Below are 23,939 nucleotides of genomic sequence, written 5' to 3' on the forward strand. Positions count from 1 at the left end.
TTGAATAGGTCACAGGTAATCCACTATAGCCCTTATTTTCTAAAATTTGTTCCTCTCTCTATCCTTGACCAGTCACATTCTGGTAACATGAATGGTCTCACCCTGCAAATGTGCAGCCCAGATTTTAGTCATGAACTTACAAGGAACCTCCATCCTGACTTCTGAAATTCAGTTTCTGCACAGCATCCCCTTCAGTACAGTATGCTGCCTCACTCTGCAAAAAGGAAAATCTCTACATAGACCTAAGAAAATTGTTTCCAGGTGAAGACTAGACTGACTCTGGAATCCTGACGTCACTTTTGAAATTCAGAGATTGCAGCTTTCCACTGACTGTTGTCCACTTCCTGAAACCAGATACCTCGTATGCTTTGTCCAGTTTTGTAGCTGCTTACAGCAGAAGAACTAGTTCAGTTACATGTATTTTATGAAGGCCAGTCTATATTCCTGGATGGAATGTGAACTCTAATAATTTAGGTGTTGGTAAGCTACTACCTAAATTCCTATGGAAGTCTGACTAGAAAACTACATCACATCAACCTTAAAGCTACTCTGGCCTTTTCAGTTGATAGTTAAACCCCACCTTTCTTCTTTTTGTTCTCCATACTTGATTTTCAAAAGAAATATGAAAAAATTGATGAAATTAGGTAAGTGCAATGTCTAATTTCTTTTCCAGAACCATGATGAATGCCGTCCCATTCCATTTTAGATGTTGATCTAAATCTGTTTATAACATGAGATAAAAGTCTAAGACCTCCGATTCGTGCTCCACAGGAAATAGAAAGTATATCTAAATAGTTTAGACAATAACACAAATTCTATTTTCCAATATTTCTCTACAAAATCCAAAGTCCACATCATTTTGAAAAAACTGATTCAGGCTGGGCGTGGTGGCTCACACCTGTAATCCCAGCACTTTGGGAGGCTGAGGCGGGTGGATCACCTGAGATCAGGAGTTTGAGACCAGCCTGGCCAATGTGATGAAACCCCGTATCTACTAAAAAATACAAAATATTAGCCAGGCGTGGTCGTGGGAGCCTGTAATCCCAGCTACTCGGGAGGCTGACGCAGGAGAATCACTTGAACTCCAGAGGCGGAGATTGCAGTGAGCCAAGATTGTGCCATTGCACTCTAGCCAGGGCAACAAGAGCAAAACTCAGACTCAAAAAAAAAAAAAAAAACTGATTCAAAACATAAAAGAAAAACATACTCTTTTTCCCAAGTTACTCCAAACTTCTCTCTCATCTTCAGACCCCTTTCTTATTCTGTACATTCAGTTTGACTCTAAGATTTTTGTGATTGTTTCATTAAGCAGTTAAATTGACAGAAATATGTAAATGTTATAATGCAGTTTCAACAATATCCTGTAGTACTCACAGAGAACAATTCATAAATCCTTGCATTCTAGTCTATGTATTTTTCTGATATCATGATGCTGTATTTCTTATTAATCTAGAGTAAAATATACTACCTTGGCTCTGACAACATTATATTTGAAATATTTTTCTTTACTTTGTAGAAAAACTAACGGTGTGCTGGTAACAAAGAAGTTTAATTATCTCAAGTGGTAATTGTTATTTTAATTAGTACTTAAAGGAGTAAAGAGAGGAAGATTTACCTTTCTTGGAAATCATGTAAAGCAGTGATTTGATGTGCAATTGTTAATTCTGAAATTGATCCTTAAGAAAGATACTATAGAGCTGCCAAAGGAGCAATAAAGAAGTATTAATCAGTCATTAGTAGGGATCATTTAAAATATTAATGGAATTAACCATCGTGGACAGTTTATAACAACAAGACTACTGAAAATATGGAATACAGAAAAGACACTAACCAGCCAGATAGAACTAATCAAAATACAAAAAGACAATCAGAACTCATCAAAAATATAAAAAACATTCACAAATTTGACTATTCTAAAATTACCTTTATAACAGGCATGTGATTTTGATACAGATGTCGGGAAGTATGTTACTAACTGGTTCTACCTGTCAGGTCATACTCTTTTTTGCAAAAGATCACTGAAGCTATTTTCCCAAAGAAAGATGCTAAGCTCTTCCTCAATTATGTTAATAAGGCAAACTATTTAAAAATAACATTTTAACATGAGATTGAGCAAGATAAAACTTTCAAAGAGAGAGAGTTTCCTTTAAACAATACTTTACACGTTAAATATATTTTATTTGCATTGCACTGTTTTCAGAAAAAAATATCTGAGGAAAACTTAGAAAACTCTGACTGGATTTTCTTTATGGACAGAAGTCCGTGAGATTGGGGCAAAACAAGACATCCTGATCCAGACATCTTTGGGAATGATTCATCTCCAAACATAATTCCTCTCTTTTGTATAAACGCCATTGCAACTGGAGACATAACAGATGTCTCAAAAGGCCGTAATGGTTGGGCTTGTTGCCTCCTTTCTGCGGAGACAACATAGCAGAAAACATCAGTCTAGATAGGCTTTCTTCTTCCTCCCTATGATACAGTAAATTTTCCATTTGCAAATGTGACAAGGGACTTGGTCTCTGATGGGCTGCTGGAGGAGGGTGTGTAATTGGAAAACTAAGGGTTTGGAGAAGAGGGCTGATAGGGCCCCCTAGGGAAAGAAATCCTACCTCATCTGGTGGTTTGATAAGGATTGAAATGTTAAGCTGTAACGTTTTCTCCAAATACTTTCTAGGCAGAGGTTGGAAAGAGAGGTTTGGGGCTTGATAGGCTGTCCCCACAATATGTCTCCTAGCAGAAGAAAATTAATTTGTCTTATAGAAGGGATGCTTAAATTCACTGGACAGTGCTGAGTTCTCACATGAAGAAAGAAAAGCCTAAATGGAGAGGAGGGTAGCTACTCAGGGTGAAATATCCCCCTATTCAGTCCCATGTATAGACATCATAGGGGGACAGAGAAGCCCTTAGACTGAAATCTTGAAATCCCCGTGTCTCAGGGAAATCACAAAAACAACAACCCTTTGAGCTGCATTGCTGATTGCTAAGGCACCTGCTGACTTTAGCCAACAAAATTGTATCTCCAGGTTGCAAAAACACCCACAACATTGCATACAAAGAAGAGATAGGAGCCATAACAGCCATGAAAGAGAGAAAGAAAAAAAATGTGATAGAAAAGACTGGAAGTCCTGGTGCCAACACCCTAACAGGCTGTCTGGGAATGGATTTAATCTAGGGACCTTTGGGTGACTTGGAGGTTTAGCCTCATCCAGATACTCTCAGCTGCCCCAGGACCTCCTAATCCCATGTGACAGCTAGACCTCCATGAGGGAAAATTGGTTTGGGATAAAGCCAACATTTCCAACATTCAAGGGTGTTGGGAGATTGACAAAATCCTCCCCAGCAAGTCTGACCTCTGAGTCTTAAGTCCAGCAGCCATGATATTTGCTCTTAATTGGCTGACAGAGGCCTGGTGTTTTATTTGATCTTGAGGAAAAAGAAAAAAAAGGATAAGAAGCCTCAGAAATGAAAGTAAAGAGTTGGAAGTCTGATCTGACTCACCCTTCTGACAATCCCAGATGAGGTCCCAAATATTGCAGTCTGCTTAGTCTCTAGCTCAGCCAGGTCCGAGTTCTTGTTCTACAACCAAGAAGAATAAGGCATGCAGACACCCAAGAGTGAGTAGAGTAGAGATTCTTAAAAAAAAGGATAGCTCTCAGCAAACAGAAGAAACCTGAAAATAGGTGGCCAGAAATGGGGCTGAGTTCTGGGTCTTTTATGTGGCAAGAACAAGGAAGCCTTCTGGGGATTCTGCCCAAAACGATAGGGGTAAAGTTTCCTCCTAAGGGTGCTGTAACTGTGCATGCCTGCAGTTGGCCAGCGTGACTCCATCTTGGTTATTACTCATGAGTGCCTAAGTGAAACCCACATGGGAGATAAAACCGCAACGCTAATATCATGTTAATGACATTATAATGAGTTGGATCAAATTAAGGACATTTAGATTGACTTATTGTGCCTGCATCTAAGTTAGGACAGTCCCTTCTGAAGAACATTCCAGCATAAGGGGAATTTCTTAACCATGTTTCTTCCCATTAGCTGCAGAGGCAGTGTAGGTGCTGTCCCGCGGATGTTCCTATGAACATTGCTCTTCTCCCAAGACCCTCCCTTTTTATCTGCCTAAACAGCCTCTAGCTGCCTCCTTTCTCAATAGTGTGGAGAGCATAAATAATGTCAGCCTCTAAAGATAAGTAAAGATGGAAGAGATTTAAATCACAAAATTATTAGTGGTCATATAAATGAATCAATCCATGTGCTAGTTCAGATGTGAGAGCTGTGGGAGGAGCACAGGCATTCTGATTAAACATATTACCTTAATGGATTAAAATGCTTTATCTCAAAACATTGAAAGTTTTTAAATCAATAATCATAGGATCAATAATTGTATGTCTTGGTGGAAATTAATGTGAGAAATGCATTTTTAATGAATAAAAATATCAGTATGATAAATGTAATCTCCTTTAATTGAAATTTATGGGAACCAAACATTAAGATAATTTATTTAACAACAAAAGCAAGAATATTACTATGTTTTTCAAAAATAGTTTTTAAAATTATTTTTGAGGCAGTAGTAATGTTCAATCACTAAAAAATCATTTATTTTAAAATATTCAAATGAAATGAAATTTTTCTGAAAAATTTACTTGAAATTATAATTTCTCAGTTCCCAAAATTTGGGTTATTACCATTTCCCAATCCCAATTATGAACTCTGGCTTAGGAATTTTCTGTGTCATCATATCAATATGGAAAACTTTGTATTGTGTTAAAAATAAAGTAGCAATCCCAGCCTCTGAGAGTAGGGCTCATGGAAAGCCACTCCTGCAAAACCCTAGGCTAAGCCCCCTGCACAGAACTGTGTGTCCAGGAACACCACTGTTGGCTTCTCAGTACATGAAAACAGGAAAGGCAGCCCCACTTAGTAAAAACCTGGGTGCAAACGTGTGTGACAGTAGGATGTTGAGTGAATGGGAAAGTCTGTGGATGCAAGAGTTCTTCATGTATGGAGGTTAATTCATTCATAGATTCACCATTTATTGAATGGTATCTGTGTAACAGGCACAATCCTAGATCCTTGGGATATAGCAGTGAACAAAAGAGAAAAACGCCCTACTACTATGGTACTTACATTATTGTGGGCCAAATAATAAACAAGTTTTAGTACGATATGTCTACATGTGAATTTTTTTGCTATTTTTCACACTTAGTGTTCTTTTTGAGCTTCCTCAATCTGTGGCTTGGTGTCTGTTATTAATTTGAAATGTTAATGTAAATTATTACTGGAAATATTTATCTCATCCAGCCCCCCTAATGTGGCCGCCACTGCCAGCAGCAGGAACGCACACATGGAGGCTAGTAGCCCTGCCTGCCAGTGTCCTGCTCCAGCCAATGAGCATGCACCCTGCTGCATTGGTGCCACCACTGGCACATGTGAATAAGCACAGATCCAGCTGCCACCATTCTGACGAAGCACTTTGGTTGAAACCAACCATTGAAGTGTTGTGGCCAGTGGTTGGGAACTCTTGGCCCCTCCAGCATAGCAGGTTCCTAACTTCAAGGGGCCAAAGGACAAAGCCATGGGCTGATACTACCCATCCCCCGCACCCCCGCGCCCAGAATTAGAGCATGCTGCTCAGGAGTGCTGAGTTGATTCTTTCCCCCCTAAAATCTTCCAGAAACGAAGTTAGTCAACTGAACCCACCTTATACCACAATCAAATCCCAAAGAGCCTCAAAGAAGATAAAAGCATAAAGCCCATCCAAAGTATAACAACTTCAAAGACTGAAGGAACATCAGCCCACATATATGAGAAAGAACCAGCACAAGAAGTCTGGCAACTCAAAAAGCCAGTTTCTTCTTACCTCCAAATGACTGCACTAGTTCCCCAGCAATGGATAACTGGGCTGAAATGGCTGAAATGTTAGAAATAGAATTCAGAATATGGATAGAAACGAAGATCATTGTGATTCAGGAGAAAGTCAAAACCCAATCCAAGGATTCTAAGAAATACAATAATATGATACAGAAGATGAAAGATGAAACAGCCATTTTTATAAAGAACCAAACTGATCTGACAGAGCTGAAAGCTTACGTCAATACTTTCAGAATGAAATTGCAAGTATTAATAGCAGAATTAAACAAGCTGAGGAAAAAAATCTCAGAGCTCGAAGACTGATTGTCCAAAACAACTCAGTCAGACAAAAATAAAGAGGAAACAATAAAGAAGCATGAACAAAACCTCCAAGAAATACGTGATTACGTAAAAAAACAAAACAAAAACACAAATTTGTGACTCATTGACTTCCCGGAAAGAGAGAGAGAGAAAGTAGACAACTTGGAAAACACATTTCAGGATATCATCTAAGAAAATTTGCCCAACCTCACTAGAGAGGACAATATTCAAATTCCGGAAAGGCAGAGAAGCCTTGTGAATACTACACAAGATGATCATCTCCAAAACACACAGTCATCAGGTTTTCCAAGGTCAAAGTAAAAACAAAAGAAGAAGAAAGGAAAACTAGAGAGAAGGGGCAAGTAACCTACAATGGAAACCCCCTCAGGCTAATAGTGTTCTTTTCAACAGAAACCCTAGAAGCCAGAAGAGACTGGGAGCCTATATTCAGCATTATTAAAGAAAAGAAATTCCAACCAAGAATTTCATATACAGCCAAACTAAACTTCATAATTGAAGGAGAAATAAGATTCTTTTTAGACAAGCAAATGCTAAGGGAATTTGTTTTCACCACACCTGCCTTACAAGAGGCCCTGAAGAGAGTGCTAAATACGGAAAGGAAAGACTTTCTCCAGCCACAAAGCTAAAAGCAATTGCAACAAAAACAAAAATTGGCAAATGGTATCTAAACTGAAGAGCTTCTGCACAGCAAAAGAAATTATCAACAGAGTAAACAGACAACCTACAAACTGGGAAAAATTTTCCATGAATTATGTATCCAACAAAGGCCAAATATCCAGAATCCATAAACAACTTAAACAAATTAAGCAAAATACAATCAACTTCATTAAAAAGTAAGCAAAGGACACACACGGACACTATTGCAAAGAAGATGTACATATGGTGAACAAGCAGATGAAAAAAATGCTCAACAACATTAATCATTACATGAATACAAATCAAAACCACAATGAGATACCATCTCACACCAGTCAGATGGCTATTACTAAAAAGCCAAATGATAACAGATGCTGGCAAGGTTGTGGAGAAAAGGGAATGCTTATACACTGCTAGTGGGAATCGAAATTAGTTAAGCCATTGTGGAAAGTAGTTTTGCAATTTCTCAAAGAACTTAAAACAGAATTATCATTTTACCCAACAATCCCATTATTGGGTATATACCCAAAGGAATATAAATCGTTCCACCATAAAGATAAATGCATGTGTATGTTCATTGCAGCACTATTCACAATAGCAAAGACATGGAATCAACCTAACTATTCATTAATAGTAGACTGGATAAAGAAAATGGGATACATATACACCATAAAATACTACAAGCCATTAAAAAAGAATGAGATCATGTACTCCGTAGCAACATGGATGGAGCTAGATGCCATTACCCTTAGTGAACTAACACAGGAGCAGAAAACCAAATGCCACTTACAAATGGTATGTTTTGACTTATAAATAGGAGCTAAGCAGTGAGTACATATGGACACAAAGAAGGGAACAATAGACACTGTCGGCCTACTTAAGGGTGAAGAGTGAGAGGAGGGTGAAGATTGAAAAACTTCCTATTGGATACTATGTTTATTACCTGGGTAATGAATTAATCTGTACACCAAACCCCCTGACATGGAATTTTTCCTACATAGCAAACTTGTACCTGTATCCCTGAACCTAAAATAAAGGTTAAAAAAAAAGAAAATTATGTATATATTTTGGAATCCTCTGCAATATTGGTTTTTAAGGTGGTGGTTAGAACTTCAAAACACCATTAAATATCAGTTGAACATCAGTTATAACATATGTAACAGTTAATTTCTTAGTAATTCTGGCTGTGAATGACCTAATTTACCTCGGTAGTTGATAAGCACAAAGATGAGTGTGATGATTATTTGCACAGAAAAATCTCAGGAAATGTACTATACAAAAAAGAAAGCAAATTATTGACTGTATCAAGTTAACAGGACATAGTTTAGCATAAAAATTAATTGTAATAATATTTGTATATGTAGCAGAAAAAACAGAAAATTGATATTTAAAAAATAATTCCATTTATGATAGTAAAATTATATAGGGTAAATCTAAAAATATACTTGTATTCTACATTGAGAACTAAAAATTTTTATGAAAGAAATTACATAGGTGAAAAGTTATGCTGTGTTTACGGATTAGAATATCAACAGTGTTATAATGGCTATTTTCCTATATTGAATTCTAGTGTCAACAAATTCCTAGTGAAAATTTTAGCAAGATTTATATATATATATATATATATATATATATATATATATATATAAGCAAGGTGACTGTAAAATGTATTAAAAAACTTAAAGGACCTAAAATATCCAAAGGAATATTTAAAAAGGGGAATAAATTTGGAAAAGTTACCTCATTGAAATTCAAGATTTAGAATAAAAATACTATAACCAAAAAGTATTGTATTCAGGAAAAAAGAGATATTTGAAGAGACTGGGAATATAATCAATTGATTTTTGTCAAATTGACATAGCTACTCAATGGGAAAAGGAAAATGTTTTCATCAAATGACACAGATTCAGCCAGATATATATAAGAAGAATAAGTAAATATTATGCCTTATAGTATATAAATATTATGCCTTATGATGTATTTTGCTCTTAAACATGTATCATTTAGGAAATGAAAAGGCAAGTCACAGAGTGGGGGAAAGCATTTGCAGAACATATATCAAAGTACTTGTAACTAAACTATGTAATGGACTTCACAAGTTAATAAATAGACAACAGGATAAGCAATTAAACATAAGCAAATTATATTAATGGAAATTTTATTTAAAAAGAAATAGACCAAATAAGCAAATTAAAACATCCACAGAATAGGAGAAAAAAACTTGCAAATCATATATCTTAAAAGGAATTTGTATCTAAGATATATAATGACTCTTACAGCTCAGTAATAAGGCAAATTGCCCAATTTAAAATGAGCAATAGATAATTCCCCAAAGAAAATATACAATGACCAATAAGCACATAAAAAGTTTCTAGTTATTGGCCAGGCATGGTGGCTTACACCTGTAATCCCATCACTTTTGGAGGCCGAGGCAGGTGGATCAGGAGGTCAGGAGATGGAGACCATCCTGGCTAACATGGTGAAATCCCGTCTCTACTAAAAATACAAAAAATTAGCCGGGCTTGGTGGCGGGCGCCTGTAGTCCTAGCTACTTGGGAGGCAGAGGCAGGAGAATGGTGTGAACCCAGGAGGCAGAGCTTGCAGTGAGCCAAGATCGTGCCACTGCACTCCAGCCTGGGCGACAGAGCGAGACTCTGTCTCCAAAAAAAAAAAAAAAAAAAAAAAAAGTTTATCACTATCAAATTGCAAATTGCAAAAAAACTTTCTCATTATCAAATTGCAAATGCATAACAACTCCACAGTGAGATATCACTTCACACTCACTAAGATGGTTATTATCAGAAAGACAGATAATAATAAGTGTTGACAGGGATGTGGAGAAATCCAAACAAACCCTTGTACATTGCTGGTAGAAATGTATATGGTGCAGCTAATTTGAAAAACAGTTTGGAAGTTCTTCCAATGGTTAGATGTAGAGCTACCATATGTCTCACCAATTCCATCCCTAAATATATACCACTATCTAGAGAGAAATGAAAATACTAAAACTTATATATGAATGCTTATAGCAGCATTACACATAATAGCTAAAATGTGGAAATAATCAAATGTCCCTCAACTGCTGAATAGGAGAACCAAATGTAATATATTCATACAATGGAATATTACTCAGACATAAATAGAAATGAAGTAATGAATATTACTCAAATATAAACAGAAATGAAGTAATGATATATTCAACAATATAAATCAATCTTATGAAACTATAGTAAATTTTTAAAATATCAGCCACAAAAGGCCACATATTATGCGACTGAATTCATATGAAATACTCAGATTAGACAAATCTGTAGAGAATAAAAGTAGAACAGCGGTTATCTAGGGCTGGGTGTGGGAAGGTGGGATTGAAGGCTAAGTACAGGGTTTCTTATTGGAGTGCTATGAATATTTTAAAATTGATTGTAGTGATGGCTGCAAAACTCTGGAAATATGCTTAATCCCTTGAATTATATACTTTAAATGAATAACTTACATGGTATGTGAATTATTTCTCAATAATGCTGTCAAAAATATAAATGAGAAAGGAAAAAAGAAGCATGTTAAAACATTTTGTGATGATGGAAATAATTTACATTTTGCTGTTGGTGATATTCATGATTGTATGCATTTGAACAAACTCATCTATCTGTACACCAAAATGATAAAATAGATAAGTAGCATAAGGGTTCAAAGACAAATTTACATAACAGAATAATTAGCAAGCCAGCAGATCACAGGAATTAAAATAAAGAGTAAGTAGAAACTTTACAAAAAGAAATATTATTATAGGAGCAGCAAAATTCTGAATTAAAAGCCTGTAAACAGTATAACGTACTGTAGACAGACTAGAGAACAATAAAAGTTTAAAAGAAAAATATATGACCGTTTTGGCAGATTTAGTAATTGTTTTTTTTTGAAGGAGAGAACAGAGAAAACAAATGCAAAAGTATTTCAGATGAAAGAAAACATTCTCAAAAGAAAAACTTGAATTTTCACATAAAAGTGGCAGTTATGAGTCAGAAAATTTGATACAGAAGAATCAACAATATTCTGTTCTGATCTTATCTTCTCCTCCTTCTTTCTAAGGCTTCCAACCTGGAATTCATAGTCCATCACCTGCCTACCCTTGATCTTGCTCTGTATCATTCTTACCCGATTGTCTTAGTTAAAACTGTCTGTCCTCAAGGAATCTTCTTCTTCGCACCCCCCTCAAGAGGTGACTAGTTTGTCTCCCACATAGTACTAACACTGGGACCTATGTAATTAGGGAAGATTCCCTTTTTACTTCTCATTAGCACTTACAGGCCATTGTCCCTGCCTCCATGGTAAGCCCTCTAGCTTATGCCTTTAGATTATTCTACTTACTCTCCATCCTTGTTTCAATCAGTTGCAGATATCTGGGTTACTGTGGCTCATTCCTTGGAGGTTTTAGCATTTTGTTAACTCGTATACTTTTCAATGACATCCTGTTGCTAGAAGTGAAGAGGAGCTGATATATTTGTTAACTTATCCTATTATTATGGAATTTCTCTCAATGTCCCTTATATTTCTAATAATTCATTTGGGGAGGCCAAAAATATTTATGCTAGCTACATATTATTTGTAAATTTTATAATAGGAAAAATGTGTTATCAAATCTATTTACACTCATATTCTGCTGTTTGCAGTTTTGGGTGAAAAATATAACTTGCCATAGCAAAATATATTTAAGTTTCCATCTATTTTCTCCTAGATGCCTGAGTATTTTAGAAGCCGTACTTCTAACTTGGTAACTGCATTCTCCTGGTGTGTGTTAGTGTTTAGTTGGGTCAAAGATTAGCAAGCATAAAACTTGGTTAGGTAATAGTGAAATGAGTCAGACATAGCAAATACATGTAGCTCACTTTATAATGGAAAAAAAATTCCAAATATATACAACTCTAAGTAAAGCCTGATAGGGAAATTATTATAAAACAGTAGTTTAAATTATATATGTACTTAGGTACTTAAACACCAGAATTAATGTATTCACTCTATAGGTCTGTGATCACCCACTAATCAAAAAATATATTGTTGTTTTCCAGATAGACCAATAGATCAAAGAAACAGGAAAGACAGTCGTGAAATAGACCCATGAGTATATGAAAAGTTAATTTTTTCTCACGGTGCAAAGAAAGAAATATAATCATTTTAACAAATGGGGTTGAAATGATTGTATATTTGTATATTCATATACAAAAATTAGTAATTTTATTCTTATACCGTGTAAAACTGAACTAATTAGTTAACGTATATAATAGTCTAAATGTAACACCAAGTACTATAAAACTCCTGAAAAAAATCAGAAAAATATTTGTAACTTTACTTAGGCAAAGATGTCTTACATGTGGCACCAAAAGCATGAAACAAAAAATGATAATTGGGACTTCATGATGAAGCTGATGAAAAGTTTGAATTCAAAGTATGTTTAAAAACATTAAAAACTTAGTAACGAGATAGTGAATCCTCAAATTATAGGCAAAAATTTTCAAATAGAATTTCACCAGTGAAAATATATGAACAGCTAATCAGCACATAAAAGATGCTCAACCTAATTTATAGTAAGAGAAATAAAAATTAAAAATTAGATACTACTATACAAATATTGCCAGTGGCTAAAATGGAAAGAACTGACCATACCAAATGTTGCTCAGGATGTGGAGGAGCTGAAATCCTCATATACTAATTGGGTGAATGTAAAACAATTTGGCCATTTTGAAAAAGAGCCTGATAAGTTCATAAAAAGTTGAACATACACCTACCATATAATATAGCTGTTCAACTGCTAGATATTTACCCAAGGAAAAAAAAAAAAAAGCAACTCAAATGTCCATAGAAAGACTTGTATGCAAAAGTCCCAAGCTCAAAACTGGAAAGAGTCCAAAAGTCAATCATCAGATGAATGTATACTCAGCAGTAAAACAGATTGAGCTATTTGTACACATAACAACAAGAATGAATCTCAAATAATTATATCAAATGAAAGAAACTACAGATAGTCACATATTTTATCATTTACATTAAACTTTATATATTGCAATTTAATCTATAGTGTCAGAAAATAGATGAGTGGTTTATTCAATGCTTTGTAGTTCTCAGAATACAAGTCTTTCACCTCCTGAGTTGTTTATTAAGTATTTTGTTCTTTTTGGTGCTAGTTTACATAAGATTGTTTCCTAATTTCCTTTTCAGATAGTTCATTGTTAGTGTTTAGAAACACTACTGAGTTTGTGTATTCATTTTGTATCTTGAAGCTTTACTAAAAGTTTGTTTATTAATTCTAAGATTTTTCACAGAATTGTTAGGGTTTTCTAAAAGATCATGTCACCTGCAAACAGGGACAGTCTTACATCTTCCTTTTCAATTATGATGCTTTTATTTTTATTTTTTTTGTTCTGGATAGAACTTCCAGCACTATGTTAAATGGAAATGGTAATAGTGGGCATCCTTTCCTTTTTCCTCGTCTCAGAAGAAAAGCGTTCAGTTTTTCACTATTAAGATGCTAGCTGTGGATTTTTCATATATAGTCTTTATTACATTGATATCCTTTTCTTCTATTCCTAGTTTTTTGAAATTTTTTATCATGAAAAAGTGTTGAATTTTGACAAATGCTTATTCTACATCTGTTGAGATGAGCATGTGATTTTTATCCTTCATTTTTTTACTGTGGTGTGTTTTATATATATATAGATTTTACTATATTGAATCATCTTTGCATCCCCAGGGATAAATAACACTTATTCAAGTTGTGTGATCCTTTACATGTGCTGTTGGATTTGATTTGCTAGTATTTGTTAAGGACTTTTCGCTCCATATCTACCAGAGATATTGGCCTATAGTTTTCTTTTCTTATGTCATGTTTAGCTTTGCTACCAGAATAATGCTGGGCTTATGAATGAGTTTGTATTTGGAAGTCTTCCCTCATCTTCAATTTCTTGAAAGAGTTTGAGAATTGGCATTATTTTATTTTTATTTTTTTCAGAGAGAGGGGCTTCCTCTGTCACCCATTTTGGAGTGCAGTGATATGATCATTGCTCACTGCAGCCTCAAATTCCTAGACTGAAGCCATCCTCTCACTTCATGCTTCTGAGTAACTAGGACTACAGGCATTCACCACCATACCCAGCTATTTTTTTTTAATTTTTTGTAGAGATGAGGGCTCACTTTGTTGCCCAGGTTGGTCTCAAACTCCTGCCTTCAAGCAATCCTCTCACCTCAGCCTCCCAAAGCACTGGGATTACAGGTGTGAGCCACCATGCCCATACCCAGCCTAATGCTTCCTTAAATGCTTGGTAGAATTTAACAGGGAAGCTATCTGTTTTAGGCTTTTCTTCGCTGAAAGGTTTTTACTTAATGATTCAATTGCCATACTAGTTGTAGTTCTGTTAAGACTATTTCTTAATAACTTAGTTACAGCGTCTCTAGAAATGTGTCTGTTTCTTCAAGGTTATCCAGTTGATTGGCATGTGATTGTTCATAGTGGTCTCTGGTGATCCTTTTTATTTCTGTAGCATCTATTGTAAGTTCTCTTCTGTCATTTCTCATTGTATTTATTTGAGACTTCTCTCTTTTTTTCTTACTGTAGGTAAAGGTTTGTCAAATTTGTTTATGATGCGATAAACCAACTCTTAGTTTTGTTTACATTTTTTATTGTTTCTCTATTTTCTATTTTGTTTATTTCTGTTCTAATCTTTGTTACTTACACCCCTGTAACTTTCAGCTTAATTTGTTCTTTTTATAACTCCTTGAGGTGTAAAGGTAGATTGTTTATTTGAAATCTTTTTTTTAATGTAGATGTTTATCTCTGTGAAATATCCTCTTAATACTGCTTTTCCTGCATTCCATAAAATTCAGGATGTTGTGTTTTCATTTCCATTTGTATTTAAATATTTTCATATATCCTTTTTGACCCACAGGTTTTTTAGAAGTGTGTTGTTTAATTTCAAAATATTTCTAAATTTTCAGGTTTTTGTTCTGCTATTAATTCATAGAAATTAAAAAAGACAAAAAGGCACCCTGTGTTCATGGATTAGAGTAAAAAATATCATTAATATGTTCATATTACCCAAAGACAGCTACATATGCAATGCAATCCCTATTAAGATCTGAATAACATTTTTTTGCAGAAATACAAAACAAAATTCTAAAATTTATATACAACTACAAAAGACCCTGATTAGTCAAAACAGTCTTAAGCAAAAAGAACAAAGCTGGAGGTATAACACTTCCTGATTTCAAAATATATTACAAAGGTATAGAAATCAAAAAGGCATTTTACTGGCATAAATACAGATACCTAGACTAATGGAACAGAAAAGAAAGCCCAGAAATAAACCTCACATATGAAATCAATTGATCTTTGACAGGGTTGTCAAAAAGGCACAATGGGGAAAGTATAATCTCTTATATAAATATCCATATAAAAGAAAATGTTGTGTGTGTATATATATATATATATATATATATATATATATATATATATATACACACACATCACATTTCGTATATCCATATATAAAATATATGGATATATAAGCTACGTATATATATATACACACAGAAAATGGAATATATATACACACAATGAAATGCTCTTCAGCCCTAATAAAAAAGGAAATCTTGTCATTTGTGACAACACAGATGAACTTTGAACTCATTGTGCTAAGTGAAATATGACAGTCACATAAATATAAATGCTGCATGATTCCACTTAAATGAGGTATATAAGATGACTGAGTTCATAGAATCAAGGTGTGAGATGGTGGTTGCTTTTGCCAGAGGCTGGGGATTGGAGAAGAGGAGGAGTTACCGAACCCTGGCCATATATTTTCAGTTAAGCAAGATGAATAAGCATAGAGATATGCTGTACATTGTACCTATAACCAACAATAACGTATTGTACACTTGAAAATTATGAAGAAGGTAGATCTCATGTTGTGTCTTTATCAAAAAACTTTTCAAAAAGAACATAAATAATGAATAAATAGGAATAAAGGAAGCAGATCAGTGGTTTTCAGGGGTCAAAAAGAGCACAGGGAGGGACAGCAGTGGAGGATTATAAATGGGTATGAGGCAACCAACTTCTAGAAGTGGTGGATTTGTTCAAAATACTTTTGGGGTTGCTGGTGTCATGGAGATATATACGTATGCATGTACATATATGTGTGTGTATGTGCATTTACTTAAATAAGGGCACTTTTCTGCATGTCCTTTTTATCTCAACAAAGATGCTGTAAATAAATAACTAGAAAAATATTTTGGTAGTTATGGGTCAAGAAGTACTAAATTGAAACTAGAATTATAGTTAATTTATAAATTAACATAAAAATTATGGTCTATTTAACCATTGATTCATTGAAAAACATCTATTCTTTCCATTAGTGTTTATTACGGATAGAGCAGTAATAAACATTACTATACATGTTTTCTGTGAATCTGTTTTTTATTTCTCTAAGACAAATGCCCAAGGGTGGAACTGCTGTATGATATGGTAATTATATGTCTAGTTTTACAGGAAATTTCCAAAATCTTTACCAGACTGTTTATACCATTCTACATTCGCACCAAAAATGTTCTACATATTTTCCACCATGTTTGGTGTTCTCACTATTTTTTATTTGCCTATTCTGGTAGTTGCGGAGTGATATCCCATTGTGGTTTTAATTTGCATTTCCTTGATGGTTAATAATGTTATATCCTCTTCTCATGCTTTTGTCATCTGTATACAGTTTTTGGTGAAATAAATGGACTACTGATAGATGCAACAACTTGAATGACTCTCCAGGAAATTATAGTAAATTAAAAAAAAACGCTAACCCAAAATATATATACAATATAATCCAACTTATAAAGCATTTTAGAAATCAAGCATAAGGTAGTGGTTGTCCTGAATCAGAAATGAGTGAGGTGGAGAGAAGAAAGGAAACCTACAAATGGAAAATATGAAGGATTCTCATGACGACTTTGTATCCTGATTGTGGAAGTTTCTCATGAATATACGCATGGTAAAATGACAAAGAACTAAATATATTCACACACTGACAAAAGTACAAGTAATTCTGATAAAATATCTCAATACTATTTGTGGATGGTATCAATATCAATACCACAATATACTGGTTGTAATATTTACTATAGTTTCAGTTTATACTAAAGTTTTGAAAGCTATTACCATGGCAAGAAATTGGGTAAAGAGTACCAAGGATATCACTGCATTATTTTATACAACTGCATGTGAATATACAATTATCCCTAAAATAATTATTCAAGTAAAAGTATTCATGACATGTGACCAACAATACACTCAGAATAAAATGCATAACTTAAATGATTTAATCAAGAATAATTCATACTAAATTTTGAAATTAAAATAAAAGATAGAAGTGATTAAACTAGCATGGTTTATATCAGGAGTAAGAGAATATCTCCAATGTTAGTAAATTTAACAATATAACCATCATTTATTTCTCAATTCATGTGGCCTTGAGGATCACTAAAATGTAGGCAATATTGTTTTATATTCATTTCTACCTTTAAAAAATCCCTTTTGGTTTTATCCAGAAAGAAAAAATATTTCCTTTATTTAGTAATTATAATCAGTAGTAGAAGAAACTACTGTTTTTTCTTCCAGTAGCCAGGTGGGTGATAGAATTAATTATATGTAGAGTATAAATATGACAATATCTTAATCAAAATTAAGATATTATGTATGTGTATATCTATCTATGCTTATATCAGCAAAGGAAATTTGAGGCAGAACATGCGCTAGGACTTTTTTTAAGTTACTTCAGGTACAGTATGAGTAGGGGATAAAAGGAAGTTATAATTTATATTTGTGTGTGTATCTTTTGTTCATACAAACACACATGCTTGTAATATATATTTATTGTATAATGTAGCATACCTTGCTTATTGTTACTGTAACAAAATAAAAATACTAAAGAAAATATTACATTATAACTAATAAAATAATTATAAAATACTAAACGTCAACATAATTTAGATAATTAAAGTAATAGATAAAGACAACAAACAAAAAATAAATACTACAAAACCTAAGAAGAGACTTAGTTAAACGGAGACAAATTGTGTTCTAGGTTAAGAAGTCTCAGTATTTCATTATGGCATTTCTCCAGCAATTTATTTCTAAAATTTTTTCAATTTAACAACAATACTATCTGAGAATAGACAGACAGTCTTCAGTTGTGTTTTAGAAAAAAAATATATATATATGTATATATATATATATATATATATATATGTAAATAAATCAAACCTTGTTTTACCAATTTATGAAAACTTTTATGAAGACAGGGTAACTTAAAGAATGTGGCACTGGCTTAGTTACAGACAAACACTTGTATGTCAAAATAATATGCCTAGAAACAATTCTACCCTAAAAATGTGTGTATATGTGTAATATATATGTATTATATGTGAGAAATTTAGTCCTACACATGATTAAGAATGATGTTTTACTTAACACACAGCATGAAAATGGTGCTAAGTCTGCAAAAAAAAGTTTGTACTCATATGGATAGTAAAATTTAACTAAAATAATTGTCAGGTAAAATTTAGAATATATTTTCATTGAGCATACAAGTCAAATTGAAATGCTGGACATATATTATGTCAAATTGGAATGCTAGACACATGAAAGTCAAATTAAAATGTTGAACATATAAAAATGCAATATTAGTAAAATAATTTACAAATTCGGTGTTACATTTTGTAAAGATTTTTGTGTCTGTGTTTATGAGAGACATTTGTCTATAATCATTTTGTTTTGTAATGTCTTCTTATGGTTTTCCTGTAAGTATAATGCCGACCCTTTAAAATGAGTTGGGAAGTGGTCTCTCTTCTTCTGTTTTCGGTATTGTTAATATTTTGTATGATTTTATCTTTAAATGTTTAGTATAACTAACTCGATAAAAAACAGCTGAGCCTGAATTATCCTATCTTGGAAGTTTTGTTTATTTTAATTACAAATTAACTTATTTAATAGATACAGACTACATGTGTTATTGCCGATAACTGTTAATTTTTAAGGGATTTTGGTTTGTGTCTTTCATGTAAGTGTCCATATTATTTTATTTATAAAACATAAGAGTATAGGATGATTTACATTACCTCATTTTCATTTAATGTATCTGAGATTAACATGGAAGTAACCTCTTTCATTCATGATGCAAAATTTGCATTCTATCTCTCTCATTTTCTCTTTGGTTAATCTGGTTAGAATTTAATCAATTTTACTAATTTTTTATAGAGTTAAACTTTGAATAGTGTATTTGCCTATTACTTTCCTATGTTTATTTTTATTAATTTCTCCTCTAATTTTTATTAATCCCTGTCTTCTGATAACTTTAGATTTAAGTTGCTATTATTTCTTTAGTTTCCTAAAGCAGAAGCTTAATTTAATATTTTTAATGATTTTTAGTCCTTTCTAATTAAAAAATACAGTATTACAGTGTGTACTGACAGAGAATAATACCTAACATATATATTGACTTAGAAGAAAAACCAAGAAACATAGCAGTATTTTGAGTAGAAATTCATTTTTGTAAAAAAAACAGTGTATATATGTGCACCCTAAACATGCAGTAAGAAGTATGGAAGCATATGCAAAAAGTCTGAAGCAATTTATGGTATGGCTAAGTTTAAGATGTCAAGAACATATTATTTTCCATATATAATTTATTATTGTATGTTTTATATAATAAAATTTATTATTTCTATTATATCAGTGACAATGTATGAATAAACTAGTCAGTGGGAATTTGAGGAAAGATGTTGAGAAATAATTTAGTGATGTTTAGACAATTAACTAACACTTTTTGAAATATAAAACATAAAAGCTAAATCCTTACATCCAAAATTCCATGAAAATAAGTTTCTGATAAAAATAAACATATAAAAAGGTAAATGAAATAAAAAAGTAGAAAATATTATTTTTTCACATTTTTGTGATAGAAAAAATTGTAAATTAGAACTGCAAAAGCATGAATAACAAGGTAATGGGTCTACATAAAAATACTGAACATTTCTATACAATTTAAAAATTTTTTAAAATCTTTGTTGGTTTAAAGTCTGTTTTATCAGAGACTAGGATTGCAATCCCTGCCTTTTTTTGTTTACCATTTGCTTGGTAGATCTTCCTCCATCCCTTTATTTTGAGCCTATGTGTGTCTCTGCATGTGAGATGGGTTTCCTGAATACAGCACACTGATGGGTCTTGACTCTTTATCAAATTTGCCAGTCTGTGTCTCTTAATTGGAGCATTTAGCCCATTTACATTTAAGGTTAATATTGTTACATGTGAATTTGATCCTGTCATTATGATGTTAGCTGATAATTTTGCTCGTTAGTTGATGCAGTTTCTTCCCAGCCTCGATGGTCTTTACAATTTGGCATGTTTTTGCAGTGGCTGGTACCTGTTGTTCCTTTCCATGTTCAGTGCTTCCTTCAGGAGCTCTTTTAGGGCAGGCCTGGTGGTGACAAAATCTCTCAACATTTGCTTGTCTGTAAAGGATTTTATTTCTCCTTCACTTATGAAGCTTAGTTTGGCTGGATGTGAAATTCTGGGTTGAAAATTCTTTTCTTTAAGAATGTTGAAAATTGGCCCCCACTCTCTTCTGGCTTGTAGAGTTTCTGTCGAGAGATCAGCTGTTAGTCTGATGGGCTTCCCTTTGTGGGTAACCCGACCTTTCTCTCTGTCTGCTCTTAACATTTTTTCCTTCATTTCAACTTTGGTGAATCTGACAATTACATGTCTTGGAGTTGCTCTTCTCGAGGAGTATCTTTGTGGAATTCTCTGTATTTCCTGAATTTGAACGTTGGCCTGCCTTGCTAGATTGGGGAAGTTCTCCTGGATAATACCCTGCAGAGCGTTTTCCAACTTGGTTCCATACTCCCTGTCACTTTCAGGTACACCAATCAGATATAGTTTTGGTCTTTTCACATAGTCCCATATTTCTTGGAGGCTTTGCTGGTTTCTCTTTATTCTTTTTATTCTTTTTTTCTCTAAGCTTCTCTTCTCACTTCATTTCATTCATTTCATCTTCCATCACTGATATCCTTTCTTCCAGTTGATTGAATTGGCTACTGAGGCTTGTGCATTCATCACGTAGTTCTCATGCCTTGGGTTTCAGCTCCATCAGGTCCTTTAAGGACTTCTCTGCATTGATTATTCTGTTAGCCATTCGTCTAATTTTTTTTCAAGGTTTTTAACTTCTTTGCCATGGGTTCGAACTTCTTGCCTTAGCTCGGAGTTTGATCATCTGAAGGCTTCTTCTCCCAACTCGTCAAAGTCATTCTCTGTCCAGCTTTGTTCCGTTGCTGGTGAGGAGCTGCATTCCTTTTGAGGAGGAGAGGCGCTCTGATTTTTAGAGTTTCCAGTTTTTCTGCTCTGTTTTTTCCCCATCTTTGTGGTTTTATCTACCTTTGTTCTTTGACGATGGTGACGTACAGATGGGGTTTTGGTGTGGATGTCCTTTCTGTTTGTTAGTTTTCCTTCCAACGGTCAAGACCCTCAGCTGCAGGTCTGTTGGAGTTTGCTGGAGGCCCACTCCAGACTCTGTTTGCCTGGGTATTAGCAGCAGAGGCTGCAGAATAGCGGGTATTGGTGAGCAGCAAATGTTGCTGTCTGATCGTTCCTCTGGAAGTTTTGTCTCAGAGGAGTACCCGGCCCTGTGAGGTGTCAATCTGCCCCTGCTGGGGGGTGCCTCCCAGTTAGGCTACTCGGGGGTCAGGGACCCACTTAAACCAACATAGATCAAAAGAGACAAAGGAGGCCATTATATAATGGTAAAGGGATAAACTCAACAAGAAGAGCTAACTGTCCTAAATATATATGCACCCAATACAGGAGCACCCAGATTCATAAAACAAGTCCTTAGAGACCTATAAAGAGACTTAGACTCCTACACAATAATAATGGGAGACTTTAACACCCCACTGTCAACATTAGACAGACCAATGAGACAGAAAGTTAACAAGGATATCCAGGAAATGAACTCAGCTCTGCACCAAGTGGACCTAATATAGACATCTACAGAACTCTCCACCCCAAATCAACAGAATATACATTCTTCTCAGCACCACACCGCACTTATTCCAAAATTGACCACATAGTTGGAAGTAAAGCACTCCTCAGCAAATGTAAAACAACAGAAATTATAACAAACTGTCTCTCAGACCACAATGCAATCAAACTAGAACTCAGGATTAAGAAACTCACTCAAAACCACTCAACTATATGGAAACTGAACAACCTGCTCCTGAATGACTACAGGGTACATCACAAAATGAAGGCAGAAATAAAGATGTTCTTTGAAACCAAGGAGAACAAAGACACAACATACCAGAATCTCTGGGACACATTCAAAGCGGAGTGTAGAAGGAAATTTATAGCACTAAATGCCCACAAGAGAAAGCAGGAAACATCTAAAATTGACACCCTAATATCACAATTAAAAGAACTAGAGAAGCAAGAGGAAACACATTAAAAGCTAGCTGAAGGCAAGAAATAAATAAGATCAGAGCAGAACTGAAGGAAATAGAGACATAAAAAACTCTTCAAAAAATCAATGTATCCAGGAGCTGGTTTTTTGAAAAGATCAACAAAATTGATAGACCACTAGCAAGACTAATAAAGAAGAAAAGAGAGAAGAATCAAATAGACGCAATAAAAGATGATAAAGGGGATATCACCACCAATCCCACAGAAATACAAACTACCATCAGAGAATAGTATAAACACCTCTACGCAAATAAACTAGAAAATCTAGAAGAAATGGATAAATTCCTTGACACAGACACCTTCCCAAGACTAAAAGTCGAAACTCTTAATAGACCAATAACAGGCTCTGAAATTGAGGCAATAATTAATAGCTTACCAACCAAAAAAAGTCCAGGACCAGATGGATTCACAGTCAAATTCTACCAGAGGTACGAGGAGGAACGGGTACCATTCCTTCTGAAACTATTCCAATCAATAGAAAAAGAGGGAATCCTCCCTAACTCATTTTAGGAGGCCAGCATCATCCTGATACCAAAGCCTGGCAGAGACACAACAAAAAAAAAGAATATTTCAGGCCAATATCCTTGATGAACATCGATGCAAAAATCCTCAATAAAATACTGGCAAACCGAATCCAGCAGCACATCAAAAAGCTTATCCACCATGATCAAGTGGGCTTCATCTCTGAGATGCAAGGCTGGTTCAACATACGAAAATCAATAAACATAATCCAGCATATAAACAGAACCAATGACAATAACCACATGATTATCTCAATAGATGCAGAAAAGGCCTTTGACAAAATTCAACAACCCTTCATCCTAAAAACTCTCAATAAATTAGGTATTGATGGGACGTATCTCAAAATAATAAGAGCTATCTAGGACAAACCCACAGCCAATATCATACTGAATTGGCAAAACCTGGAAGCATTCCCTTCGAAAACTGGCACAAGACAGGGATGCCCTCTCTCACCACTCCTATTCAACATAGTGTTGGAAGTTCTGGCCAGGGCAATTAGGCAGGAGAAGGAAATAAAGGGTATTCAATTAAGAAAAGAGGAAGTCAAATTGTCCTTGTTTGCAGATGACATGATTGTATATCTAGAAAACCCCATCATCTCAGCCCAAAATCTCCTTAAGCTGATAAGCAACTTCAGCAAAGTCTCAGGATACAAAATCAATGTACAAAAATCACAAGCATTCCTATACACCAACAGACAAACAGAGAGCCAAATCATGAGTGAACTCCCATTCACAATTGCTTCAAAGAGAATAAAATACCTAGGAATCCAACTTACAAGGGACATGAAGGACCTCTTCAAGGAGAACTACAAACCACTGCTCAATGAAATAAAAGAGGATACAAACAAATGGAAGAACATTCCATGCTCATGGAAAGGAAGAATCAATATCGTGAAAATGGCCATACTGCCCAAGGTAATTTATAGATTCAATGCCATCCCCATCAAGCTACCAAGGACTTTCTTCACAGAATTGGAAAAAACTACTTTAAGGTTCATATGGAAGCAAAAAATAGCCCGCATCGCCAAGTCAATCCTAAGCCAAAAGAA

At 34.4% G+C, this 23,939-nt stretch overlaps 1 long non-coding RNA gene across 3 annotated transcripts in view; it reads right to left on the bottom strand.

Moving 5' to 3' along the window:
• The window catches only part of LOC105379102 (uncharacterized), a 328,753-nt gene that overhangs the window by 6,747 nt on the left and 298,067 nt on the right, over window positions 1-23,939 (bottom strand). For 2 of the 3 annotated variants that reach the window (XR_948628.3, XR_001742829.2), the window contains one exon: window positions 3,502-3,579. The exons of the other annotated variant lie outside the window; for it this stretch is intronic. This is a non-coding gene — a long non-coding RNA (uncharacterized LOC105379102). The remainder of the gene's footprint in view (window positions 1-3,501; window positions 3,580-23,939) is intronic. 3 annotated transcript variants of the gene reach the window in all.

Source organism: Homo sapiens, chromosome 5, assembly GCF_000001405.40.
Source record: "Homo sapiens chromosome 5, GRCh38.p14 Primary Assembly".
Lineage (NCBI taxonomy): Eukaryota > Metazoa > Chordata > Mammalia > Primates > Hominidae > Homo > Homo sapiens.